This window comes from Homo sapiens, chromosome 7 (assembly GCF_000001405.40).
Source record: "Homo sapiens chromosome 7, GRCh38.p14 Primary Assembly".
In the NCBI taxonomy this organism is placed as follows: domain Eukaryota; kingdom Metazoa; phylum Chordata; class Mammalia; order Primates; family Hominidae; genus Homo; species Homo sapiens.
The window spans coordinates 65,158,643-65,184,806 of record NC_000007.14 but is presented as its reverse complement, the minus strand read 5'-3'; the positions used below and the strand labels follow the sequence as shown (position 1 = coordinate 65,184,806).

Here is a 26,164-nt window from a genome sequence, read left to right as displayed (position 1 = left end):
CATGCCTATAATCCCAACACTTTGTGAGGCCAAGATGGCTGGATCAGGAGGTCAAAGATCAAGACCATCCTGGCCAACATGGTGAAACCCCATCTCTGCTAAAAATACAAAAATTAGCTGGGCATGGCGGCACGGGCCTGTAGTCCCAGCTACTCGGGAGGCTGAGGCAGGAGAATCGCTTGAACCTGGGAGGCGGAGGTTCAGTGAGCCGATATTATGCCAATGCACTCCACCCTGGCGATAAAGAGAGACTCTGTCTCAAAAAAAAAAAAAAAAAAAAGAGCCAAGAGAACTGCAGAGAAACCAAAGAGAGCCCTGGTAACCTGTTGAATGACCAATCCTGAAACCAACCTTCTGACCTCGTTATGAAAAAACAGACTTATTGGCTAAGATATTTTTAATCAGATTGTCTTTTTTACTTGTGGGCAAAAACATTCTAATTGATATCCTGGGTGAAGTCCTGAAATCACAGATCTGTCTGAAACTAAGTAGCCTTATGCAAGTAAATTTTTTCATCTACAAAATGAGATTAAAAGTCATTACTTCATAGAGTTGCTATATGCATTAAATAACTAACATAAAGTACTCAGCGAAGTGTCTGTCACATAGTAAGAACTCAATGTTAGCTATTATAACTACCTGAGGGCCCTTTATAAACTATAAGGAACTATACAAGCAAGGTAATTATATATTTTTATTATTGTTTATGGTTTTTTTTTTTTTTGAGACTGAGTCTTGCTCTGTTGCCCAGGCTGGCATGCAGTGGCACAATCTCGGCTCACTGCAACCTCTGCTTCCAGGGTTCAAGCGATTCTCCTGCCTTTGCCTCCCGAGTAGCTGGGATTACAGGCACGTGCCACTACGCCCAGCAGATTTTTGCATTTTTAGTAGAGATGAGGTTTCACCATGTTGGCCAGGCTGGTCTTGAACTCCTGACCTCAGGTGATCCACCCGCCCCAGCCTCCCAAAGTGCCGGGATTATAGGCGTGAGCCACTGCACCCAGCCAATTAAGTGCACCTTCTAAACCAGAACTTAATGAATAAAAAATAATAAGGCCGGGCACAGTGGCTCATGCCTGTAATCCCAGCACTTTGGGAGGCCAGGGCAGGTGGATCACCTGAGGTCAGGAGTTCAAGACCAGCCTAACCAACATGGTAAAACCCCATCTCTACTAAAAAAAAAAAAAAACAAAAAATAGTTGGGTATGGTGGCGTGCACCTATAATCCCAGTTACTCGAGAGGCTGAGGCAGGAGAATCGCTTGAACCCAGGAGGCGGAAGTTGCAGTGAGCTGAGATCACGCCACTGCATTCTAGTCAGGGTGACAGAGCGAGACTCCATCTCAAAAAAAAAAGTAACAAAACAAAACACTATATAGGAGAAAGAGGAAATCTAATTAATTTATTTCTATACTTGTAACAGCTACCACAAGGGTTGGTGCGTAGTCAGCACACAGCAGGCACATAATATTTGCTAGGTGGATAGATGCACAAATTAGTAAGTAATCTAAAATGTGATATTCAGCTTAGGAATCAGATTCCTGAGAGCGGTTAAGTTCAATCAGGTTTCTAAAGTAAAGGCAAAATTCAGGGCCGTACTACCCTCAATCTATAAGGACGGAACAAATGTCAGCATCGTACATTTACCACATTATGCGACTCAGTGAGTAAATGGGCAAAAAAGTCATTACTTCCATATGGAGTCCCTATCAGTAGGGTACTTGGTTAAATTTTTCAGCAGCTCCACCAATGCAAGATGAATCCCTTCTTTGGTTGAAACATTAGTACAGCATAAGAGTTCATGAAGAGCCTCTCGAATATCTCTGGATGAATCCTTTTAAAAAAAAGTAATAATAATAGTAGTTACTGTTGGTTAGCAGACTCAGCCTCTATCTACCATCCCCTTCTCCCCAGCCACCTTCCCATCTGGGGTGGCCATGTAACAAAGTATGTGGAAGTTTTTTGGCTGAAATTCCTGAAATATCTTTCATTTTATTGATAAAGGACCAGAGGCAGTAGCTTTATCCCCTTTCTTCTTTAACCTTCCTTTTCCATCCTATCTGGAACTCAATCATGATGCTGAAGGTACAAGAGCCTTTTTGCAACTAGGAAAAAGGACAGGCTAAGAAGAAAGGCTAAGAGAGAGGCTGGGAATGGCCAGTTAGCAGAACACTCAGAACACACACACTTATTAAGTTTGCCATCTTATACAGGCACAGTTTGTGGCATCCCAAAACAATTACAACAGTAACATCAAAGATCACGGATCACAGATCACTGTAACAGATGTAATAATGAAAAAGTTTGAAATATTGCAAGAATTACCAAAATGTGACACAGACATAAAGTGAGCACATGCTATTGGAAAAATGGCACTGATAGACTTGCTCAATGCATGGTTGCCGCAATCTCTCAATTTATTAAAAAAATACAATATCTGCAAAGCCCAATAAAGAGAGGTATACCTGTATGTGCTAAATGGAGGAGTGAGGGAAAAGTCGATCTATCTGAAGTGAATTTCAAGATTTCAAGAATGAGAAATATTAAAAGAGAGGCAAATCGAAATGTCACTCCTATCCATAAAATTCTGCAACAGTTTTCCATAATGTTAGAATAAAATCCAGACATCTTAAAATGGCCTACAAGGCTCTCCACCTCTCCCTAATCCCCTCTCAGACTTCATTTCATGCCACATTTCTACTTTCTCACTGTGGTTCACTCCTACTGGCTTTCTCTCTATTCTGCAAACACAACAAAGCTCACTTGTATTTTAGAGCCTTCCCACTAGCTGTTGCCTCTACCTGAAGTTATTCTCCCAGTCTTCACATAGCTAGCTTCTGTTTACCATTCAAGACTCAACTTGAACATCATCTCCTCAGAAAGTCTTTACTAACCACTCAAATTACAGAGAAATTCCCCATTCCTCCATCATACTGTTTATCTTCTGCAAAACATTTATCACCATCTGAAATCATTTTGTTTGTTTACTCCACCTCTCTTTAGAATATAAGTTTTATGACAGCAGGGATCCTGTCTGTTTTGATATCCCTATATTTCTAATACATAGACAGTGCTTGTTGAATAAAGAAGTGAGTTTTTCTAGGCAGGGTAGGATCTTGACATAGCAGGAAAAAAAAAAAAGGCAAATTCCACCTGGAAGGGTCAGCAAGGTAAGGCTCAAAGCAATGAAGCACAGTGACACAGAAAATATAAGGGAGCAGTGCACAGCAGGGTGGAAGAATAGTCTACTGTAAGTTTATATGGGTCTGAACTCCTGAAAAGAATTAAAAAGCAAGGATTCTTTGTGAGTTATATACATAAGTACTCACAAATAAGCATACCTGTGAACAATTCTGTACATCAAAACATAGCTTGGAACATAGCTCAGCTACTCAGCAAACACTTGCCGAGCACCTAATTGTGCCAGACACTGCTGCAAGACATTGGTAATAAAAAAATGAAGAGTCAGCTGGGCACGGTGGCTCACACCATAATCCCAGCACTTTGGGAGGCCAAGGTGGGTGGATCACTTGAGGTCAGGAGTTCGAGACCAGCCTGGCCAATATGGTGAAACATCATCTCTACTAAAAAAAATATATAAAAATTAGTATTGTAGTGCGTGCCTGTAATCCCAGCTACTCAGGAGACTGAGGCAGGAGAATTGCTTGAACCCAGGAGGTGAAGGTTGCAGTAAGCCAAGATCGCGACACTGCAATCCAGCCTGGGGAACAGAGCGAGACTCAGCCTCAAAAAGCAAAAAACAAACAAACAAACAAAAAACAAAAAAAAAAGGAAAGGAAAGGAAAAAGGAAAAGAAAAAGGAAAGGAAAGGAAAACAAAAGAGAAAAGAAAAGTCAAGACACCTTGAGGAGCTCACAGTCTTATGAAATAGAGAATTACTGAAAAATGCTAGAGCAGTATACACAGAGTGCTATGGGAATAGAGTGGTGGCATTTAGCCCACCCAGGGCTGGGAGTAACAGTTAGGGAAGGCTTCCTGGATATGTTACCTAATATAGGCTGTGGGAATAAGTGGACGTCTCCTGGGTTAAAGTGGCAGTTTTGCAAACTGAGGGGGAAATTACATTGAAGGTAAAATTGTGAGGAAAAGCCATATGTGTAGGAAAGTGACTTCAGCATAAAGTTCAAGGTGAGGAATGGTGGAAAAGAAAGCTAAAAAGGAAAGGAGTGGCTAGGCTATGTATGAGGCCACCTATGAAGAACCACACATAGAATGTAAACTTATTTTTAGGAAAAAATACATGAAAAAATTATAAAGATTTATAATTCAGGAAAAATCTTAGTAGAAGTGCTAAGCAGCTGAGAGAATGGTAGGGACCTTCAAAACCAAAGCACCAGCTATTCTTTAAAGTATGCAGTAGAAATCTGTTACAAGTGTTCTAAAAACTAAGCACCTAATTACTATCCCTTTCACATCTGAACCCCATCTTCCCCAAAAAGGAAACCAGAGGACAAACCCCATTTATGAATACTCTGAAGAACTTGAGTAGTTGCAATTAAAATCCAGACATTTTAGAAAAATAATACAAGAACTACCTAGAGCTGTACGGCCTGGGAAGCAACTCTGTGTTTACATTTTGGTTCAGCCACTAACTCAGACAACTTATTTTTTCTCTATAAAATTCCCAGGGTAGAATGAATCAATCCCTAAGAGCACTTGCTGCTGTAACAGCCTATGATTCACTACAAGAATAAAATCAAATTAAAGGTTGAAAAGAACTCTTCATTATTTAGCCCCTACCTTATCTATAGCCACTTCTTCCACTCTTCCATCTCTTCAACTCTACGCTATCATTATAATAAACTCTTTTTAGTTCCTTGAATTATCATATTCTGTCTTATCTCTGCATCTTTAGACATTGTTCCCTCTGTCTGGTACCCTTTCATCCTACCACCGGTGTCACTTCTCCTTTAAAAAAGATGCACTTCAGCTTGAGTGACAGAGTGAGACCCTGTCTCAAAAGAAGAAGGAAAAAAAAAAGCCCAGTTAAGTCCTATTCCTCCTTCAAGTGTCCACTACAGCACTTCCTCCTTCTTCCCAACCTCACCTCAGCCAATTCAGGTTAGACACTATGTATTCCCTAGGCATCCTATCCTTTCTTGATCACAGAAAGACCAAGCTTATTCAAATTTCCTGTTTCACAGTCAATTTCTTCCATCTTAGGGGAGGGGTATGGTGAGAAAACAGAACTGTGCTGCCCGATATACTGTTCTGTCACCAATACCTGATTTTAACGGGGGGGGGGGGGGTGAGGGATGAAGAAATGAGTAACAAATTAGGAACACTCACCTCTAGCACAGCCAGGACAGTGTCAAGCTGATCTTCTCGGAGGGTGATGTTGTTAGAGATTTTTCTCATGGTATGTATGGACTGCAGACGTACTTCCTCAATTTCATCGTTGAACATGTCAACTAGGAAATCAAGGCACTTCTCAGCAAAAGAGGGTGAAGACTGGGCCAACATGCAGAGGGCCTCCACAGCAGCAATACGAACCTCTAGAAAAAAGAACAAATGAAATTGCACATCAGGCTGGGCACAGTGGCTCATGCCTGTAATCCCAACACTTTGGGAGGCCAAGGTAGGCAGACCACTTGAGCCCGCCTATGCAATGTGGTAAAACTCTGTTTCTACCAAAAATATTAAAAAATTAGCTGGCTGTGGTAGTGTGCGCCTGTTCTCTCAGCTACTTGGGAGGCTGAGATGGGAGGATCACTTCAACCTGGGAGGCAGAAATTACAGTTAGCCAAGGTCGTGCCACTGCACTCCAGCCTGGTGACAGAACGAGACCCTATCTCAAAACAAAACACACAAAAAACAAATTAGCCAAGTGTGGTGGCGCACGCCTATAGTCCCATCTACTTGGGAGGCTGAGGCAGGAAGATCACTTGTGCCCAGGAGTTTGAGGCTGCAGTGAGCCATGATTGTGCCACTACACTCCGTCCTGGTGACAGACTGGGCCCCTGTCTCAAAAAAAAAAAAAACTCCAAAAACAAAAAAAACAAAAACTGCACATCAGCCAGGTGCAGTGCCATACACCAAAGTCCCAGCTACTCGGGAAGCTGAGGTGGGAGGATCATTTGAGCTCAGGAGTTCAAGGCCGGCCTGAGCAACACACTGAAGCCCCATATTTTATATATATATAAAGTAACTCATATCAAATTAAGAGCCATGGGAAAAGTCCAAGATGGATTCATTCTCCTTCAGGCTGTCTTCTATTCTCTACTCCTCTCATTCTATAAACTCTCCCTGGGAGATCTCTATGCCCACAGTTTCACATACCACCCACCTTAACGTCGATCTAAGAACATGGACTTTAGTATCACAAGGACTATGGCTTAAATCTGACTCCACATATATGTGATGAGTCTGTCTACATGTCTGTCTACATTAACTTCTTGAAAATTAAGTTGTCTTACTTATCTCAGTATTCCGACCACAGTACTTTTTAGAAAGTCAGTTAGTAAATAATGTTATCATTATTATTAAGATTAAAGTAGACTAAATATCATTGTTCGAATTTTACAGGTAAGATTCAGCAACGTGGATTAACTTGCCTCAAAGTGAATGAGGGCAGGAATAGGACCAATACTCAGGTCTGTTGATTGTAGGCTAAAATCATATAGTGGTTAAGGATACATGCTTGGAATGATAGAGGTCTCAGAGCACACTGTAGTGAATGATCCCTCCACTAAGTTGGAGGGTGATCTTGAATAAGTAACTCAACTTCCTGGCACCTCAAATTTCTCACCTGGTAAATGGACATAATACTCATTTCCTTACAGAGTTGTTAGGACTAAATGAGATAATACAGGTAAAGCACATAGGGACTCTGCCTGGCATATTTTAAGGGCTCAGTAAGTATCACCTAGGGTATAGGTTTGGGTTCTGTAAGCACCCTGAAAACAGAGGCATGTTTTCCACCCCTTGGCATGCTCAGAACATGTAAACAATAAAGCCACTGATCCGAGGAAGCCCTTTCTTCATTCACTAATAAATGGGTCCTGAACACATACTATATGCTAGGTGCAGTACTAAGGGCTAGGATACAAAGATGAGAAATGAGTAAGACACAGAAAATGCTCACAAGACTTCTATACATGGTTGTTTTTTTCTAGTGATTCCCATATGCTTCTGTAACAAAATGGACTATTCCAAAACAAACAAAACAATAAGTACCTAAAGTTGTGGTTAAAACTCACAAACACAATTTCCTCTTTGTATAAAGAAAGGTTTTATAGACATGTTAAAAGTAGAGTTACTACAGTAAAGACAGATGATTCAGGTTTTTCTTGGTAGTTATGAATTCCTCCTTTTCATCAGAAGAGAACAATTTTCTTCACTTCACAATAATATAATTTCAACATGAAATTGCTAATTATAAGGCAAGCTAGAGATAAACCCAAACATGTTAAGTGCTGGCTCTTCCTCCTAGAATTTTAACCATTACACCACACTGACTCATATGTAACGTTTGCAAGTCCACCAAGGCAATCAGGAAGGAATTTCTGATCGGAAAGAGATAATCAGTGTGACCTCAGCTGATACAGTTCCAAGCAGAAGCAAAGAAATGTGGTATTTTACTTTGCCTGAACGGCCAGACTATAAGCAAGAAAATTGACATTTTCCACTGAACTTTTTGGAATGTTGAAGATATGTCGGCCAGGCATGTCACGCCTGTAATCCCAGCACTTTGAGAGGCCAAGGCAGGAGGATCACTTGAGCCCAGGAGTTCAACACCAGCCTGGGCAACATAGTGAGACCCCATCTCTATAAAAAAAGTTAATTAAAAATAAATAAATAATATGTCACAGATTCCCCATGGGTACAGAGCAGAGAAAAGGAATCTACTATACTATATTTTAAAAAAGACTGATCCTCAGCATCTGCACATGTATAATTGGGTCCAGACTTAGCTACCTATTAGGTTTGTACTTAGTACTAAAGACACAAAGATGAACAAAAGCAAGACTATCCCCCAGGCTTACAAATAAGAACAGTTAATTGCATTACAGAGTGATGACTGTTGCCATGGAAAAGCACAGGGAGGCCGGGCGCGGTGGCTCACGCCTGTAATCCCAGCACTTTGGGAGGCCGAGGCGGGAGGATCACGAGGTCAGGAGATGGAGACCATCCCGGCTAAAACGGTGAAACCCCATCTCTACTAAAAATACAAAAAATTAGCCGGGCGTAGTGGCGGGCGCCTGTAGTCCCAGCTACTTGGGAGGCTGAGGCAGGAGAATGGTGTGAACCCGGGAGGCGGAGTTTGCAGTGAGCCGAGATCGCCCCACTGCACTCCAGCCTGGGCGACAGAGCGAGACTCCGTCTCAAAAAAAAAAAAAAAAGAAAAGCACAGGGAATGTAAGAAAATGCATATGAAGAAATATAGCCCAATCAATGGGATCAGAGGTGGCTTTCTGTAATACGTGATCCCTAAAAACAATAACTAAAAGAGCTGCTAAGCCAAAAGAAAGAAAAAGGCCTTTCTAGAAGAAAAGCTGCATGCACAAAGTCCCAAAAAGGAGAGAGAAGATGGATAAATTAGAAGACTAGAAGTATGTGAGGCACTACACTAGAGTGAACAGCCAGCGAAATAAGGCTCCATTTCATTCCCAGCAATGCACCCCTAAAACCCAAATTTTCCCAGAATTGTATAAATGTGATAAAATTAGAAAGCTGTCATACCTGATACCTGGTTATGGTATACTCACTTTTTAAACTTAAGTTAATTTGATTACATCTTAATAACATTTGCAACACGAAGGATAAATCCTTGAGGAGATGGATACCTATCTATATGATGTGATTATTTCATATTTCATGCCTGTATCAAAACATCTCATGTACCCCTTAAATATATATACTAGTATGGAACCAAAAAAGGGCCCACATAGCCAAGACAATTCTAAGCAAAAAGAACAAAGCTGGAGGCCTCACGCTACCTGACTTCAAACTATACTACAAGGCTACAGTAACCAAAACAGCATAGTACTGGTACCAAAACAGATATATAGACCAATGGAACAGAACAGAGCCCTCAGAAATAACACCACACATCTACAACCATCTGATCTTTGACAAACCTGACAAAAACAACCAACAGGGAAAGGATTCTCTATTTAATAAATGGTGTTAGGAAAACTGGCTAGCCATATGCAGAAAACTGAAACTGGATCCCTTCCTTATACTTTATACAAAAATTAACTCAAGATGGATTAAAGGCTTAAATGTAAGACCTAAAACCATAAAAACCCTAGAAGAAAATCTAGGCAATACCATTCAGGACACAGGCATTGGCAAAGACTTCATGACTAAAACACCAAAAGCAACGGCAACGAAGCCAAAATTGACAACTGGGATCTAATTAAACTAAAGAGCTTCTGCACAGCAAAAGAAACTATCATCAGAGTGAACAGGCAACCTACACAATGGGAGAAAATTTTTGTAACCTATCCATCTGACAAAGAGCTAATATCCAGAATCTACAAGGAACTTAAATTCACACACACAAAAAAGAAAAAAACCATGACCCCATCAAAAAGTGGGCAAATGATACGAACAGACATTTCTCAAAAGAAGACATTTATGCAACCAACAAACATATTAAAAAAAGCTCATCATCACTGGTCATTAGAGAAATGCAAATCAAAACCACAGTGAGATACCATCTCACACCAGTTAGAATGGCAATCATTAAAAAGTCAGGAAACAACAGATGCTGGAGAAGATGTGGAGAAACAGGAACACTTTTACACTGTTGGTGGGAGTGTAAATTAGTTCAGCCATTGTGGAAGACAGTGTAGTGATTCCTCAAGGATCTAGAACCAGAAATACCATTTGACCCAGCAATCCCATTACTGGGCATATACCCAAAGCCTTATAAATCATTCTACTATAAAAACACATGCACACATATGTTTATTGCAGCACTATTCACAATAGTAAAGACTTGGAACCAACCCAAAGGCCCATCAGTGATAGACTGGATAAAGAAAACGTGGCACATATACACCATGGAATACCACGCAGCCATAAAAAAGGATGAGTTCATGTTATTTGCAAGGACATGGATGAAGCTGGAAACCATCATTCTCAGCAAACTAGCACAAGAACAGAAGACCAAACACCGCATGTTCTCACTCATAAGTGGGAGGTGAACAATGAGAACACATGGACACTGCAGGTGGGGGGCATCACACACTGGGGCCTGTTAGGGGGTGGGGGGCTGGGGGAGGGATAGCATTAGGAGAAATACCTAACGTAGATGATGGGTTGACGGGTGCAGCAAACCACCATGGCACGTGTATACCTATGTAACAAACCTGCACGTTCTGCACATGTACCCCAGAACTTAAAAGTATAAAAAAAAGTATTTAAAAAATCTTAATGGCAAACTGAAAACTGTATAACTAAATCATATAAATGTTAAAAGTGATGAAATTCAGTTGTAGAAACAAAACAAAGCAAAAATGCTAACAGAAACAAAATAGGTTTCAGTTACTCATTTTAGAGTAAAATAGGTTTTAATAACTGGACTTCCTTATTATCCAATATTATTTAAATTGTAATTCATATTTTAAGTTCATAGAGAATCAAAAAGCAGAGGTAGATTTACTTTCTATACATATGGAACATTTTAGAACAAATGATAGGATAACCCAATTCTTACATCTACTGATGAAAAACTTTCTTTCAAAAATAATATTCTTGCCCTTCTAAGAAGCAGTTCTATCCTGAGGTATGATTGTATAGGCATTTTTAAGACCTGGCACAGGTCTCTGGCACAAATTTACTGTAAAACGTGGACAATCAACATTACCTCACCAGGTCTGTTACCCTTGCTGATAATGAAGAGGCTGGAGTCAATCATCTCAAAGCACTGAAATTCTGAGATGTACGTGAGACAGACAGCATATGGAAATCACATGGGCTTTATAGGATGTCTATTACAAGATGGAGTAATGAGGACCGGCTTTATCCTCCAAGGATGAGACAGAGACAAAATATATGAAACAACAGCATTCCAGACACTGGGCATCTGGCAATAAAGGACTGCAATCCCTGAGAGATGGGAAATAAATGAGGTGATCTCAATGATTACAATTCCGTTTAGAGAGACTCCAGGCACTAGGTCTTCTCTCCCTGAGTTGAGAAGATTGAGCTAGGAGTTTGGGAAGTCCAATGTGGCTAGAGTTCATAGAGCAAATTTCTGGAAAGGAGAGAACTACACAGAGAGACAGAGAGCTTGGGAGATCTGCAGATGGTCGCCTCAAGTCTTCAGCTGAATTCTGATCTGTGCGACAGAGACCATCTGAGGCCTGGAAAAGAACCACTCAAAACAATGAGAGGAAACAATCTCCAGAGGTCACACAGGGCCTATAAAACCACAGTTAACTTAGAAGAATTTTGCAGCCAGGTGTGGTGGCTTATGTCTGTCATCCTAAAACTCTGGGAGGCCGAGGTGGCCGGATTGCTTGAGGCCAGGACTTCAAGCCTGGCCTGGGCAACATGGCAAAACTCATCTCTACAAAAAATACAAAAATTAGCCAGGTGTGGTGGTGCCCACCTGTGGTCCTAGTTACTCAGGAGGCTGAGGTGGGAAGGTTGTTTGAGCCCAGGAGGTCAAGGCTGCAGCGAGCCGTGACTGTACCTTGGCACTCCAGCCTGGGCAACAGAGCAAGATCCTGTCTCAAAAAAAAAAAAAAAAAAAGAGAGAGAGAAAAAAGAAAAGAAGAGGTTTTGTGCTTCAAGTAGTGAAAAAGAAGAGTTTTTTGCTTCACTAGTGGAGAAAAGTAAGCTGTAGGCTAAATGCTACTCTAATCCTGCCTAACAAAGTATAAGACCTGAAAAAATGGATCCCAGAACAAAGCTCAAAAATATTTATAGGAATAAAATAATGTTCAGTATCCAATAAAGTGAAATCTATAATGTCTGGCATCCAATTAAAAATTATCAGACATGAAAAGACACAGGATGGAATATACACAGGATGAATATATAATACTGGAGGAAAAAAAATCAATCAAAACCAACCTAGGAATCACAGAAATAATAGTCCTAGTAAACAAGGATAGTAAGACAATTATAAACATATTATCTGTTGACAAAGCTAGAGGAAAGATTAAGTATGTTAAGAAAGACATGGTAGATACTAAAAAGACCCAAACTCTTTCTTCTTTTTTTTTTGAGACAGGGTCTTGCTCTGTCACCCAGACTGGAGTGCACTTGTGTGATCATGGCTCCCTGCAACCTCTAACTCCTGGGCTCAAGCAATCCTCCTGCCTCAGCCTCCCAAGTAGCTGGGACTAAAGGCAATGCACAACCATGTCTGGCTAATTTTAAATTTTTTGTAGAGATAGGGTCTCCTTATGTGGTCCAGGGTGGAAAAAACCCAAATTCTAATCAAACTTCTAGAGACAGAAACTACATGTCCGAGATGAAAAATATACTGGGTGGGATTAACATCAGATTATATCTTGCAACACTCAAAGACAAAGCAATAGATACTATCCAAAATCAAACACAAAGAGAAAATAAAAACTGGAGAAAGAAAGGAAGGAAGGAAGGAAGGAAGAATAGAACATCAGTGAGCTGCAAAACAATGTCAGTATCCTAATGCATGTGTAATGAAAGTCGCCAAAGGGCCTGTAGAGTCAGAGAAATTTAAAAAAATAATAGTGGCTGGGTATGGTGGCTCACACCTGTAATCCCGGCACTTTGGGAGGCTGAAGCGCGCAGATAAGTTGAGCTCAGGGGTTTGAGACCAGCCTCGGCAACATGGCAAAACCCCGTCTCTACTAAAAATACAGAAATTAGCCGAGAGTGGTGGTGGGCACCTGCAGTCCCAACTACTGGGGAGGCTGAAGCACGAGAATTGCCTGAACTCAGGATGCAGAGATTGCAGTGAGCCAAGATCACACCACTGCACTTCAGCCTGGGCAAAACTCTGTCCCCGCCACACCCCCCGAAAAAAAAAGAGAGAGAAAGAAATAATAGCAAAAAAAAATTTCCAACTGTGATGAAAACTATTTGATTCAAGAAGCTCAACAAACTCCAAACAAAAGAAACATGACATGAACTATACTATACCTAGGCATATCATAATCAAATTGTTTAAAACCAGTGATAAAGAGAAATCTTAAAAGCAGCTTGAGATAAAAAGACACATTATATACAGAGGAAGATAAAAACGACAGCAGATTTCTCAACAGAAAACTATGGAGCAATATCATTAAAAGACTGGTAGAGGCCACGCACAGTGGCTCACGCCCGCAATCTCAACACTTTAGGAGGCCAAGGCAAAAGGATCACTTGAGCCCAGGAGTTCAAGACTGGCTTGGACAATATAGGGAGGCCCTGTCTCTGCAAAAAATTAAAAAATTAGCCGGGCATGGTGACATGTGCTTCTGGTCCCAGCTACTCGAGAGGCTGAGGTGGGAGGATTGCTTGGGTCCAGGAAGTCAAGGCTTCAGTGAGCTGTGATCACACCACTACACTCTAGCCTGGGTGACACAGTGAGACCCTGTCTCAAAAAACAAAAAAGTCTCTTGGAAAAAAAAAACTTATTAATCTAGAATTGGATTCCCACAAAAATATCTTTCTATATTTATTTATTTATTTATTTATTTATTTTTTGAGACAGAGTTTTGCTCTGTTGCTTGCCCAGGCTGGAGTGCTGTGGCACGATCTCAGCTCACTGCAACCTCTGCCTCCTGAGTTCAAGTGATTCTTGTGTCTGAGCCTCTCTAGCAGTTGAGATTACAGGTGCATGCCACCATACCAGCTATTTTTTGTATTTTTAGTAGATCCAGGGTTTCACCATGTTAACCAGGCTGGTCTTGAACTCCTGGCCTCAAGTGATCCTCCAGCCTCAGCCTCCCAAAGTGCTGGGATTACAGGTGTGAGCCACCACGCCTGGCCCAAAAATATCTTTCAAAAATGAAGGTGAAATAAAATATTCATCAGTCATATAAAGGTTTGGCAGTCAGACATACCTAGGTTTAAATCTTGCTCTGTCTCTTACTAGCTGGGTAAGTAATATCAAGTTATTATTTTTATTAATATCAATTTTAATTACCAATTATTAAGTGCTTATTATAAATAGGCACATGTATTATGCCAAGTGCTTTATGTATACAGAACCTCATTTAATTCTCACAACTCAGAAAGATAGTTATTATTATCCCTGTTTTATAAAAATGCTGGAATTTAAATATAGATTGACTGAACCCAAATCTCTTGCTCTTTACCATTGTCTCATACTACTGGGGCCTCAGTCTCTTCTGTGTGTAAAATAAAAAGCATAGTAAGTACTTCCCAGAGTTACTGTGAGGACTAAATGAAACGATACATGTGTATCACCCAGTACAATGCCTGACACACAGCAGTCACTTAAAGAGTGCTATTGCTATTATACAGTCATACTTACCATACATCTCATCTTCCAACCCATGAACAAAAGCTCCACAAGCTCCTGACTCAATCAAGTTCACAGCCCCGGTATCTACTTCTTCCTTGGGAGCATCATCTTCCCACTTTCTGCCACTGGAAAACTCCCCTGAACTGTAAAGTTCCTTGGCACGCTCATGTGCAGTACGTTTCCTCTGCAGAGGACAACAACAATTACCAATTGTAGGAGGTTCATGAAGGAACACTAAGATGAACCCTGAGAACATGGGAAGGCAGAAAATAAAACTGCTCTTTGAGAGTTACGTTTGTAAAAATTATCAGTAGTTCATACAAGAGAAATGCAAATTCAACTTAAAATGAAACCAAAGCCTTGCTGGTCTATAATAGCTGAAAGTACCTAATTAAAGAGGATAAAGATAGCTGAAGAATGTGTTAAGAAAGTTGGTTATGTTTGCTGTGGCAGCAACATAGGAAAAGAGAGAGCCAGAGAGGCAAATAATGGCAGTGCCCCTCCAAAAAACCATCTTGGGTAGACAATACATTGACTCTAAGAAAACAATTATCGGGCAGGGAGCAGGTGGCTCACACCTGTAATCCCAGCACTTTGGGAGGCCAAGGCAGGCTGATCATGAGGTCAGGAGATTGAGACCATCCTGGCCAACATGTTGAAACTCCATCTTTACTCTAAGTACAAAAATTAGCTGGGCGTGGTGGCACGTGCCTGTAGTCCCAGCTACTCAGGAGGTGGAGGTTGCAGTGAGCCGAGATCATGCCACTGCACTCCAGCCTGGCGACAGAGTGAGACTCTGCCTCAAAAAAAAAAATTATCTTCAGTCCCAGTAAAAGTATTTTTCTATTTGGCAACATTGCGTTCTATTTCAGCTACAGTACAGTCACTAAATAATCTAGTAAACTCACTTTACACAGAGATTGCCTAAGGTGGAATATACCGGTTAGTGTATCCAGTCCACTTGACAGTTATGGTTCTCATCACAAATGAATGACCTGGCACTCTGCTTTATACATCAGCCTCTCATGAAACCCCATCTCTAAAAAACTACAAAAAATTAGCCGGGTGTGGTGGTACACACCTGTAGTCCCAGCTACTCAGGAGGCCGACGTGAGAGGATCACTTGAGCCCAGGAGGCAGAGGTTGCAGTGAACCAAGATCGCACCACTGCACTCCAGCCTGGGCGACAGAGCGAGACCCTGTCTCAAACAAAACAAAACAAAACAAAACAAAACAAACAAACAAACAAAAAAACCACGCACCAGAAAAAGAGCTGAGAGACATATACCAAAATGACCAAAGTCATTATATTAGGGTAGCAGGCATATGGGTAAATTGTTTTCCTTTCCCTTATCAAAAATTCTACAACTCTATAATATCACTTTTATAATTTCAAAATTGAGGTACTAACAATGAATGTACATATTATTTTCTCAGACTCAAATTTGGTTCTGCAAACCACGTTAGTGAACCATCACAATCAAAGCTTAAGGGCATTTCATAAGAGGCATTTGGGGCCGGGCACAATGGCTCACATCTGTAATCCCAGCACTTTGGGAGGCAGAGGCAAGAAGACTGCCTGGGCTCAGGAGTTCAAGACCAACATGAGGAACAGAGCAAGACCTCATCTCTACTAAAGATAAAAAAAATTAGCTGGGCATGGTGAGGTATGCTTGTAGTCCCAGCTACTCAGGAGGGTGAGGTGGGAGGAATGCTTGAGCCCAGGAGATCAAAGTTGCATTGAGTAATGATTGTGCCACTGCGTTCCAGCCTGGGCAACAGAGTGAGACCCAGTTTCAAAAAAAAAAGAAGAAAAAATGGCGTGGGGTGGGGGGTATTTTGTTACTGTTTGGAGAAAGGCTTTACTCAGTCTTCCATGGTAACTGCTGCTGAAAAGGAGTCCTAAAATGTCATACCATCTCACAAAATGAGAATGGGCCTTTGTAGTTCCTAACAAATAGAAAATTAATCTTTTGGGGTTTTCTGGGGGTTTTTTGTTGTTGTTTTTTGGGTTTTGTTTTTTGAGACAGAGTCCCACTCTGTTGCCTAGGCTGGAGTGCAGTGGTGCGATCTCGGCTCACTGCAACCTCTGGTCTCCAGGGTTCAAGTGATTCTCTGCCTCAGTCACCCAAGTAGCTGGGACTACAGGCACATGCCACCACACCTAGCTAATTTTTGTTTTTTAGTTGAGACGGAGTTCATCATGTTGGCCGGACTGGTCTCAAACTCCCGGCCGCAAGTGATCTACCTGCCTCAGCCTCCCAAAGTGCTGGGATTACAGGTGTGAGCCACTGCACCTGGCTTAGAAAATTAATCTTGCCTCTTTTTTGTAAAGCATAACCTGTGCAAAGTATTTCATTACAATAATACGAAATTTAATGAAGTCACTTGTTATTTGCTTCAATTTACTAAGATTTTAAATTAAAATGTAATACAGTTCTCATACGTTAATTTAACAAATGCTGCTAAGTTAAATCAACACAACTCACAATACTGCCCCCCTACATTGGTTACAGAAACCCAGTTTAAACAACGAAGAATAAAAGGTACCCTCAGATCTGACATCAGCTTCTTGTCAAGGGTCTGCTCCAAGAAATGAGAACTGACTTGCTCCATAGAGCCCTATAAAAAGAAAAATCCAGAGCATATAAAACAACTTTTATGATTTGAACATTATCTTAAAATTCAGTCTATAGCCAATTTAAGTGCATAAAGATAATATTATTCATGACAGTAAAGATGCTATGGGTTCTGAATCAGCAGGAAAATAAAAATATTAGCAGCAGCTAACACCTAAATAGAGCTTACTATGTGTCACCTACTGTGCTTTCTTTCTTCTTTTTTTTCTTCCTGAGATGGAGTTTTGCTCTTGTCACCCAGGCTGGAGTGCAGTGGCATGATCTCAGCTCATTGCAACCTCCGCCACCCAGGTTCAAGCAATTCTCCTGCCTCAGCCTCCTGAGTAGCTGGATTACAGGTGCCCGCCACCATGTCCAGCTAATTTTTTTGTATTTTTAGTAGAGACGGGGTTTCACCACGTTGAGCAGGCTAGTCTCAAACTCCTGACCTCAGGTGATCTGCCTGCCTCGGCCTCCCAAAGTGCTGGGATTACAGGCGTGAGCCACCACGCCCGGCCACTATGTGTCATGTACTATTCTAAGGGCTTTAGACGTATATTAACTCATTTAAATCCTCACTATAACCCTGAGAAGTAAATACTATATTAGTCCCATTTTATATATGGAGAAAAGACACAAAAAGATTAAATAACATATTGACGGTCACAAAGAATAAATTCCAGAGCTAGGAGATAAATCCAGCCTCCAAAATCCTTTCCCTTAACGACTACTCTCCACTCCTTTTCATTCTTCTTTCCATTCATCTGTTCATTCATTCATGCATTCAATTAAACAAATATTTAGCAACCATTCAATTATATGTCTACAGTTACCAGGAACAAGAATACAAAAATAAAAAGACAACAGCTGTACACTCAACAATCTCACAGACTAGTAAGGGAAACTGACAAGGTATGCAATGCTGTAATACACATCTATGAATGATGACACGGGAATGGAGAGAACAAGCAGTATTAAGGTACAGGCAGGGAGAGGTATACTTGGAGAAATGAAAATCACAGTGCAAATGCCAAGTGGGAAATATTAAGTGGTTTTACGAATGGAACGTAAGATAGGGCTCCTGAAAATGAGGCAGTAGAGATAGGATAATAAAGAGCCTTATTTGCCATAGTAAGGGGTTTGCCTTATAAATAATTATTACATAATCCCTGTTAAACATCTAATGAGCTTAACAATGTATAAAATATTTTACTTATATTTTTCCAATTTATTCTTCCCAATAATCCCATATACCTCTCATCCCCATTTTCTAGATGACAAACGAGGCTGAGATTAGTCAACTTACTCATTTTAAGTAAGGGAGAACATAGATTTATATTTCATAAAGCCCATCTTGCAACAGTATGACTAATGGACCATAAGGAATCAAAATGAAAGCAAAAAGACTAGTTTCAGAGGCTGTTGGAGCAGGTCCTAGACGTTAAGAAATTTATCTGAGATCTTCTCTAATTCCTAAGTTAATAAATGCGGAAATGCTTATACAGGCTCAGATCTTTTCTCTAACCAAATTTTTCACAGAAAATGACATGTTCCTGGGGAATGTCCTTACTCAAGTTAACACCTTTCCTATGATTCCACAAAAACAACTGCTGTACTATTTTGACTAAAGTAGTTTCAAAACCACTTTTTCTTTTGTTACACAGATCTGAGTCAATGTCATATCTAACATCCATTTTTTAAATCCCAACAACAATTTTATAAATAAGAACTATAAACGCTTAAGACCTCCTAAATCTCTCTCTACTTTTACCACCAGCATTAGCTGTTGGCTTTTTTCTACTAGAATAAAAGTTTTCATGACTTCACAGTAAGTTGCTTCATCCATAATTCCCAGTGCCCTCCTCCAATGCCCTCAGCTGCACGCTCAACCAACACAGCAGCACAGAGGGAGTACTATGCAAATTTGTGCCCCCCAAAATTAAATATCATTACTTGAAATAAATTTTCAATGTCACCTAAGAATAGGTGAAGCTTTCCATTTTAAGTCCACAGACACAGAGTCCTATAGCATAGTAATCCACTTGAAAAATGGTGAGATGTCTATTACTGCAGGACCAGTGGAAATGGAGAAGGGATGGATTTAGGGGATGTCAAGAAGGAAGAACTGATATGAGTTGTGACTCAATGGATGTAAGACATAGAAAAACTATTCCTAAATTCCTCTGGTTCATGACTTAGCAGATGATAGTATCACTTACGAAAACATAGAGAAACAGATTTGGACCAAAAAGATAATGAGTTCATTATAAAGTGCACCTCACCAATGAGAAAAAAAGCTACATTCTGGTATACTTTAACCAAGACAAATATGTTTAGATTAAGATGGAATCTCTCCAACTGTACTACTAGCACTACTTAACAACCTAAATTTAGGTAGTTAATGCTATGAAAACCTTACTTAACACTGAGAAAACCATTTCACTTGAGAGCCTTATTAAATGTATGTGAAATTTAGATACAAGATATTTAACAATTATCACACCTGCTTGAAGAGCAAAAACTGCTCAACTGGTATAAATAACATAAGTCTATGCAACTGGGTGATAAGTACATCAGACATAAAACTGCCACTAACTAGGAATATCTGCATTTACCCTGGGAAAGACCAGTCATGGGCAGACTTACAGGCATAAAAGTCTATAACCTAACAGTCTGAAAATGTTGTAATTTTCAAGGTCAATGACTTCTTAAGGCTTATAAAAGTAGTGATTGTATTCTAAATAGTCCCATGAATCTGCTTACTGGGACCTCAAGTTTCTTTGCCCCACAAAGAGGGCAGTTATAAATAAGTAAAAGCTAACCTCTTTTACATGGTTTTGAATTTTCTGATATAACACATATCAGAAAATTTTTCATACGCTATAAGCCAAAGGGATTGGAAACTATTCACTTTTTAAGCAAGATAGACTCGAGGCTACAAAGCTAAGTTGTTGCAGAACCTGGCTTCTGTTTTCCTCTCCAACTTACCTCATTACAGATCCCCTATATTGAACATTACCCCCCAACTAGAAAGCACTAGACTGCTTGTAGTTTAGTATGATATTGCAGCTTAGTATATTGCTATGCATGATAATGTACTGCTTTTATATCCCTGCTCATATTTTCTCTTTCTCTGCATTGCTACCTAGTTACTCATCCTTCAAAACTCAGTTCAGAGATCAGCTCCTCCAAGAAGGCTTCTGTGGTTGTGGTTGGTGCTCTTTCCTACCAGTACCAGGTATTGTTATTCACTGATTAGCTATCCCTGGCTACCTGACTGTCAACTTCGTTGCAGACAGAAACTGTCCTCGGTGTTTGTCGATTTGCTGAACAGGTGATCTAAAGATTATACAGGTTGAACATCCCAATTCCAAAAATCTGAAATCCAAAATGCTCCAAAATCCAAAACTTTTTGAGTACCAACATGATGCTCAAAGGAAATGTTCACTGGAGCACTTCAGATTTTGGATTTTGGAGCATATTTCAGATTTGGGATGCCCAACAAGTAAGTCTAATACAAATAAAATATTCCAAAATCCAAAAACAAAACAAAACAAAACAAAATCCAAAACACTTCTGGTCTCAAGCATTTTGGATAGGGGATACTCAATCTGTATGCAGATTTGTTTAAAAAAAATGGCTCACCAGAGTTACCTGGCACACATCACCCACAACAAAAGAGACCAAAATAACAAATAACTATATTTCAACTAAAATGACTGTAGATATATGCTGCAGAGCACCAGAGAAAGGGCAAAATCCCTGTGGAACATGGAAGCCTCAGGATAGCACCACAGGGTGAGGCTTCCTACCTGCCACATTGTCTCCCTTGCCAAAATCAGCTTAAAATCAGAGGAACTTCTTACAGGGAAAGAGTAAGCTGGAGATACCTATCAGTGGTCCCCACTGCTGCCACAGGCACCAGCAATTCTTGATAAAGGACAGTCCTTAAGTCCTCAGTGGCCACAAATCCAGTCTGGAGAGTAGCCAAGAGATCATTCAGCTGTATTGCCTCAGAGTGGGAGCCCACCTTGTCCTAAGCTGCTGTAGCATGGCACCAAGTTGAAGCTAGACTCACTACTAGTGTGCATCCTGCCCTGGGGACCAGTAGCAACTGACTCTCTTCATCCCTGAGAACCAGCCATCATTTTACCGTGATCACACGATGGCCTGCAGCACCATAACCCCATCCACATAGAGTCTAGGTCAAACAGAGTGACGATGATTTCAGCATCAGACCCCACACAGCGCTACCAACCACCCAGAAAACAGGCAGACCTGCACAGCAAGGAAGCCATCAAATAGACAGCTGGCAGCGCTTTACCCAACACCCCTGTTCCATACAACCATCTGGGCTGCCAAGTATGCATGCGCCAGTACTCAGCCAAAAAGCCAATCCTGCGGCAGCCCTACTTCCTCACAACCCATCACAGAACCACCTGCCCACGCCCTGCCTGATAGCTGGCAATTCAGTGGTCCTGTCCCCTAAAACAGGCCACAATAGAGTCCCACAGTCCCACAGCACACAGTCCAACTGGTCCTGTGGTAGCCCTGGCCCCCTACCATAGACTGCTGCCAAACTGCCCAGCCCCACTGCACAAAAGCATTTGAGCCTAGCCCAAAGCAACAGCCAACCAGGCAGTAGCCCCATCTCCCTACGTAGCCACAGAGCTGCCCAGCAGGCCGCTGCAGCAAAGGCCTGAGCCCAGCACGACAGCCACCACAGCAGTAACTACCGCCTCCCTGGAAAACCAGATAGACAGCCCGGCAGCCATTTTAGCCTGTACATGTCTTGGCCAAAAATCAGCTCGGTACCCTCATCTATAGCATTGCCATCACAAACTCCCACAGCCTAGGCAACTGAGGCAATTGCAAACATCAATGACTAGGATTATAGCTGAAGATTACAGCTGAAGCTGACAAGGATTATTACACCACCCATTGAGTCCACCCAGAACCAAAGGCAACACACCATACCCAGCTAATACCCTAAAACCATCTACAGAAAAAGACTGTTACTATATACTAGCTACTCAATAAAATTGAAAAGAGCAACTACGCTACTAAATGCACACATATCAACATCCAGTATCTTGCACACGATAAATGAAAATCAAGGAAACATGACACCCTCAAAGGAATACGGTTAAGTCTCCTGGCTGGAGGCAGTGGCTCACATCTGTAATCCCAGCACTCTGGGAGGCCAAGACAGCCAGATAGCATGAGCTCAGGAGTTCAAGACCATTCTGGGCAACATGGCAAAACCCGTCTCTACAAAATATAAAAAAATTAGTCGGGTGTGGTGGCATGCGCCTGTAGTCCTAGCTACTCAGCAGGCTGAGGTGGGAGGATCACTTAAACCCAGGAGGAGAAGGTTGCAGTGAGCTGAGATCATGCCACTGCACTTCAGCTTGGGTGACAGAGCAAGACCCTGTCTCAAAAAAAAAAAAAAAAGGAAAAAAGTCTCCAATGACAGACCCCAAAGAAAAGGACACTTACAAAATGCCTGAAAAGGAATTCAAAATAGTGATCTAAAGGAAACTCAGTGAGATACAAGAGAATACAGACAAACAATTAAATGAAATCAGGAAAACAATTCATGATCCGAATGAGAAATTCAACAAAATCAATATCATAAAAAAGAACCAAACAGAAATCTTGGAACTGAAGAATTCAATGAAAAAAATAAAAATAGTATACAGTTGAGAGCTTCAACAATAGACTAGGATCAAGCAGAAGAAAGAATTTCTGACCTTGAAGACAGGTCTTTTGAAATAACCCATTAAGAGGGAAAAAAAAAAACAAATAAGAATAAAAAAGAAAGCCTTGGAACATATGGGACATCAATAGGCAAACAAATACTTGCATTGAAGACTGCCTGATGGAGAAGAGATAGAGAAAGGCGCAGAAAACCTATTTGATGAAATGATAGCTGAAAACTTGCCAAGTAGTGGGAGAAATACGGACATCCAGATTCAGGAAGTTCAAAGGTTCGCAATTACATTCAACCCAAAAAGATCCTCTCCAAGGTGCATTATAATCAAACTATCGAAAGTCAAAGAGTAAGACTTTCAAAGCTGCAAGAGAAAATTGTCAAGAGAATCTCCATTACTATCAATAGATTTCTCAGTAGAAACCTTGTAGACCAGCAGAGAATGGGATAGAATTAATATATTCAAGGTATTGAATGCTACAACTAGAAACAAAAGGACAATAATCACTATCATAACAACACACAAAAGTATAAAACTCACCAGTAAAGGTAAACTCATAAATCAAACAGATCAAACCCCAGTGATACAATATGTCATATAAAATATTCAATCTGCTAGTATGAAGGTTAAATTTAAAATGGTCAAAAACTACAACAGCTACAAATAGTAGCTAAGGAACACATAACAGATGAAGAAGAAAATTAAGGCAACAAAAATATAAATTGAAGGGGGGAGGGAAAAAACCTAGGGTCCTTTTATGTAACCAAAGTTGAGTTGCTATCAGCTTAAAACATTCTATTGTAACTGTTTTTCCCCTTTGAGACAGTCTTACTCTGATGCCCACGCTAGAGCATAGTGGCCTGATCATGGCTCACTGCAGCCTCAATCTTCCAGGCTCAAGTGGTCCTCCCACCTCAGCCTCCTGGGTAGCTGAGACTACAGGTGTGTGCCACCATGCCCGGCTGATTTCTTTTTTCTTTATTTAGTAGAAACGAGGTCTCACTATGTTGCCCAGGCTGGTCTCAAACTCATGAGCTCAAGCGATCTGCCTGCCTCAGCCTCCCAAAGTGCTGGGATAATAGGCAAGAGCCACCACACCAGCCTAACTGAAGACTCTATAGTCTATGTAGAAAAAAGTTACAGCAGATACACAAACAAGAAAGAGAATGAAAACAAAGCTTGGCCCCACAGAAAACCACTAAATCAGAGGTAAACAACAAGAAAGGAAGACAAGAACAAAGGATCTCCAAAACCACCAAAAAGTAATTAACAAAATGGCAGGAATAAGACCTTATCTATCAATAACAATCTTGAATATAGCTGGACATGGTGGCTCATGCCTGTAATCCCAGCACCTTGGGAGGCCAAGGCAAGCGAATCACTTGAGGCCAGGAGTTTGAGACCAGCATGGCCGACATGGCAAAACCCGTCTCTAATAAAAATGCAAAAAAATTAGTTGGGCATGGTGGCACATGCCTGTAATCCCGGTACTGGGGAGGTTGGGGCACGAGAATCACTTGAACCCAGGAGGTGAAGGTTGCAGTGAGTTGAGATCACACCAGTGCATTCCAGCCTAGGTGACGGAGTGAGACCCTGTCTCAAAGAAACAAAAAAAAAAAAAAAAGAAGAAGAAGAAGTAGAAAAAAATCTTGAATATAAATGGATTAAGTTCTTCAATTAAAAGGTACACTACAGCCTGGGCAACAGAGAGACAGACACCCTGTCTCAAAGAAAGAAAAAAAAAAAAGGTATACATTGGTTGAATAGATTAAAACACAAAATCTAAGTATACATTGCCTAGAAGAAACACGCTTCACAAGCAAGAATCAAAACATATACCAAAACCTATGGTATGCAACAAAAGCAGTTCTAAGAGATAAGTATACAGCAATAAATGGCTACATCAAAAAAGAAGAACAATCTGGTTTTTAATTTTTTTTAGGGACAGTTTTGCTGTTGTCCAGGATGGAGTCCCCAGGAGTTTGAGGTTGCTGTGAGCTATGACTGTGCAATCGTGGAACCGCACTCCAGCCTAGGCAACAGAGCAAGACCCTGACTTAAAGAAAATAAAAAAAGAATAAAATCTTGTAATTTGCCACATCGATTAACCTGGAGGACATCATGTAAAGTGAAATAAGCCAGACATGGAAAGACAAATACTGCCTGATCTAAGACTTAAACATAAGACCTAAAACCATAAAAACCCTAGAAGAAAACCTAGGCAATACCATTCAGGACATAGGCATGGGCAAAGACTTCATGACTAAAACACCAAAAGCAATGGCAACGAAGCCAAAATTGAGAAATAGGTTCTAATTAAACTAAAGAGCTTCTGCACAGCAAAAGAAACTATCATCAGAGTGAACAGGCAACCTACAGAATGGGAGAAAGTTTTTGCAATCTATCCATCTGACAAAGAGCTAATATCCAGAATCTAAAAAGAACTTAAACAAATTTACAAAAAAAAAAACACAACAAAACCCCATCAAAAAGTGGGTGAAGGATATGAACAGACACTTCTTAAAAGAAGACATTTATGTGACCGACAAACATATGAAAGAAAGCTCATCATCACTGGTCATTAGAGAAATGCAAATCAAAACCACAATGAGATACCATCTCACACCAGTTAGAATGGCAATCATTAAAAAGACAGAAAACCACAGGTGCTGGAGAGGATGTGGAGAAACAGGAACACTTTCACACTGTTGGTGGGAGTGTAAATTAGTTCAGCCATTGTGGAAGACAGCATGGCGATTCCTCAAGGATCTAGAACCAGAAATACCATTTGACCCAGCAATCCCATTACTGGGTATATACCCAAAGGATTATAAATCATTCTACTATAAAAACACATGCACACGTATGTTTATTGCAGCACTGTTCACAACAGCAAAGACTTGGAACCAACCCAAAGGCCCATCAATGATAGACTGGACAAAGAAAATGTGGCGCATATACACCATGGAATACCATGCAGCCATAAAAAAGGATGAGTTCATGTTCTGTGCAGGGACATGGATGAAGCTGGAAACCATCATTCTCAGCAAACTAACACAAGAACAGAAAACCAAATACCACATGTTCTCACTTATAAGTGAGAGTTGAACAATGTGAACACATGGACACAAGGAGGGAAACATCACACACCAGGGACTGTCAGAGGGTGGGGGGCTCGGGGAGGAACAGCATTAGGAGAAATACCTAATGTAGATGATAGGTAGACGGGTGCAGCAAACTACCATGGCACATGTATACCTATGTCACAAACCTGCACGTTCTGCACATGTATCCCAGAACTTAAAGTATTCAGAAAAAAATTGATATCATAGAGGCAGAGAGTATAACAGTGGTTAGCAGACACTGGGGAGGGGAGGGAGTAGGAGAGAATGGGAA

General features: G+C 40.8%; 1 pseudogene across 2 annotated transcripts in view; it reads right to left on the bottom strand.

The window, feature by feature from the left end:
• Positions 1–26,164, bottom strand: part of INTS4P1 (integrator complex subunit 4 pseudogene 1) — a 93,193-nt pseudogene that overhangs the window by 49,416 nt on the left and 17,613 nt on the right. For both annotated transcript variants that reach the window (NR_146906.1, NR_146905.1), the window contains 4 exons: positions 16,987–17,058; positions 14,446–14,620; positions 5,310–5,515; positions 1,691–1,833 (listed from right to left, as the gene is read on the bottom strand). The product of NR_146906.1 is annotated as an integrator complex subunit 4 pseudogene 1, transcript variant 2 (transcript). The remainder of the gene's footprint in view (positions 1–1,690; positions 1,834–5,309; positions 5,516–14,445; positions 14,621–16,986; positions 17,059–26,164) is intronic.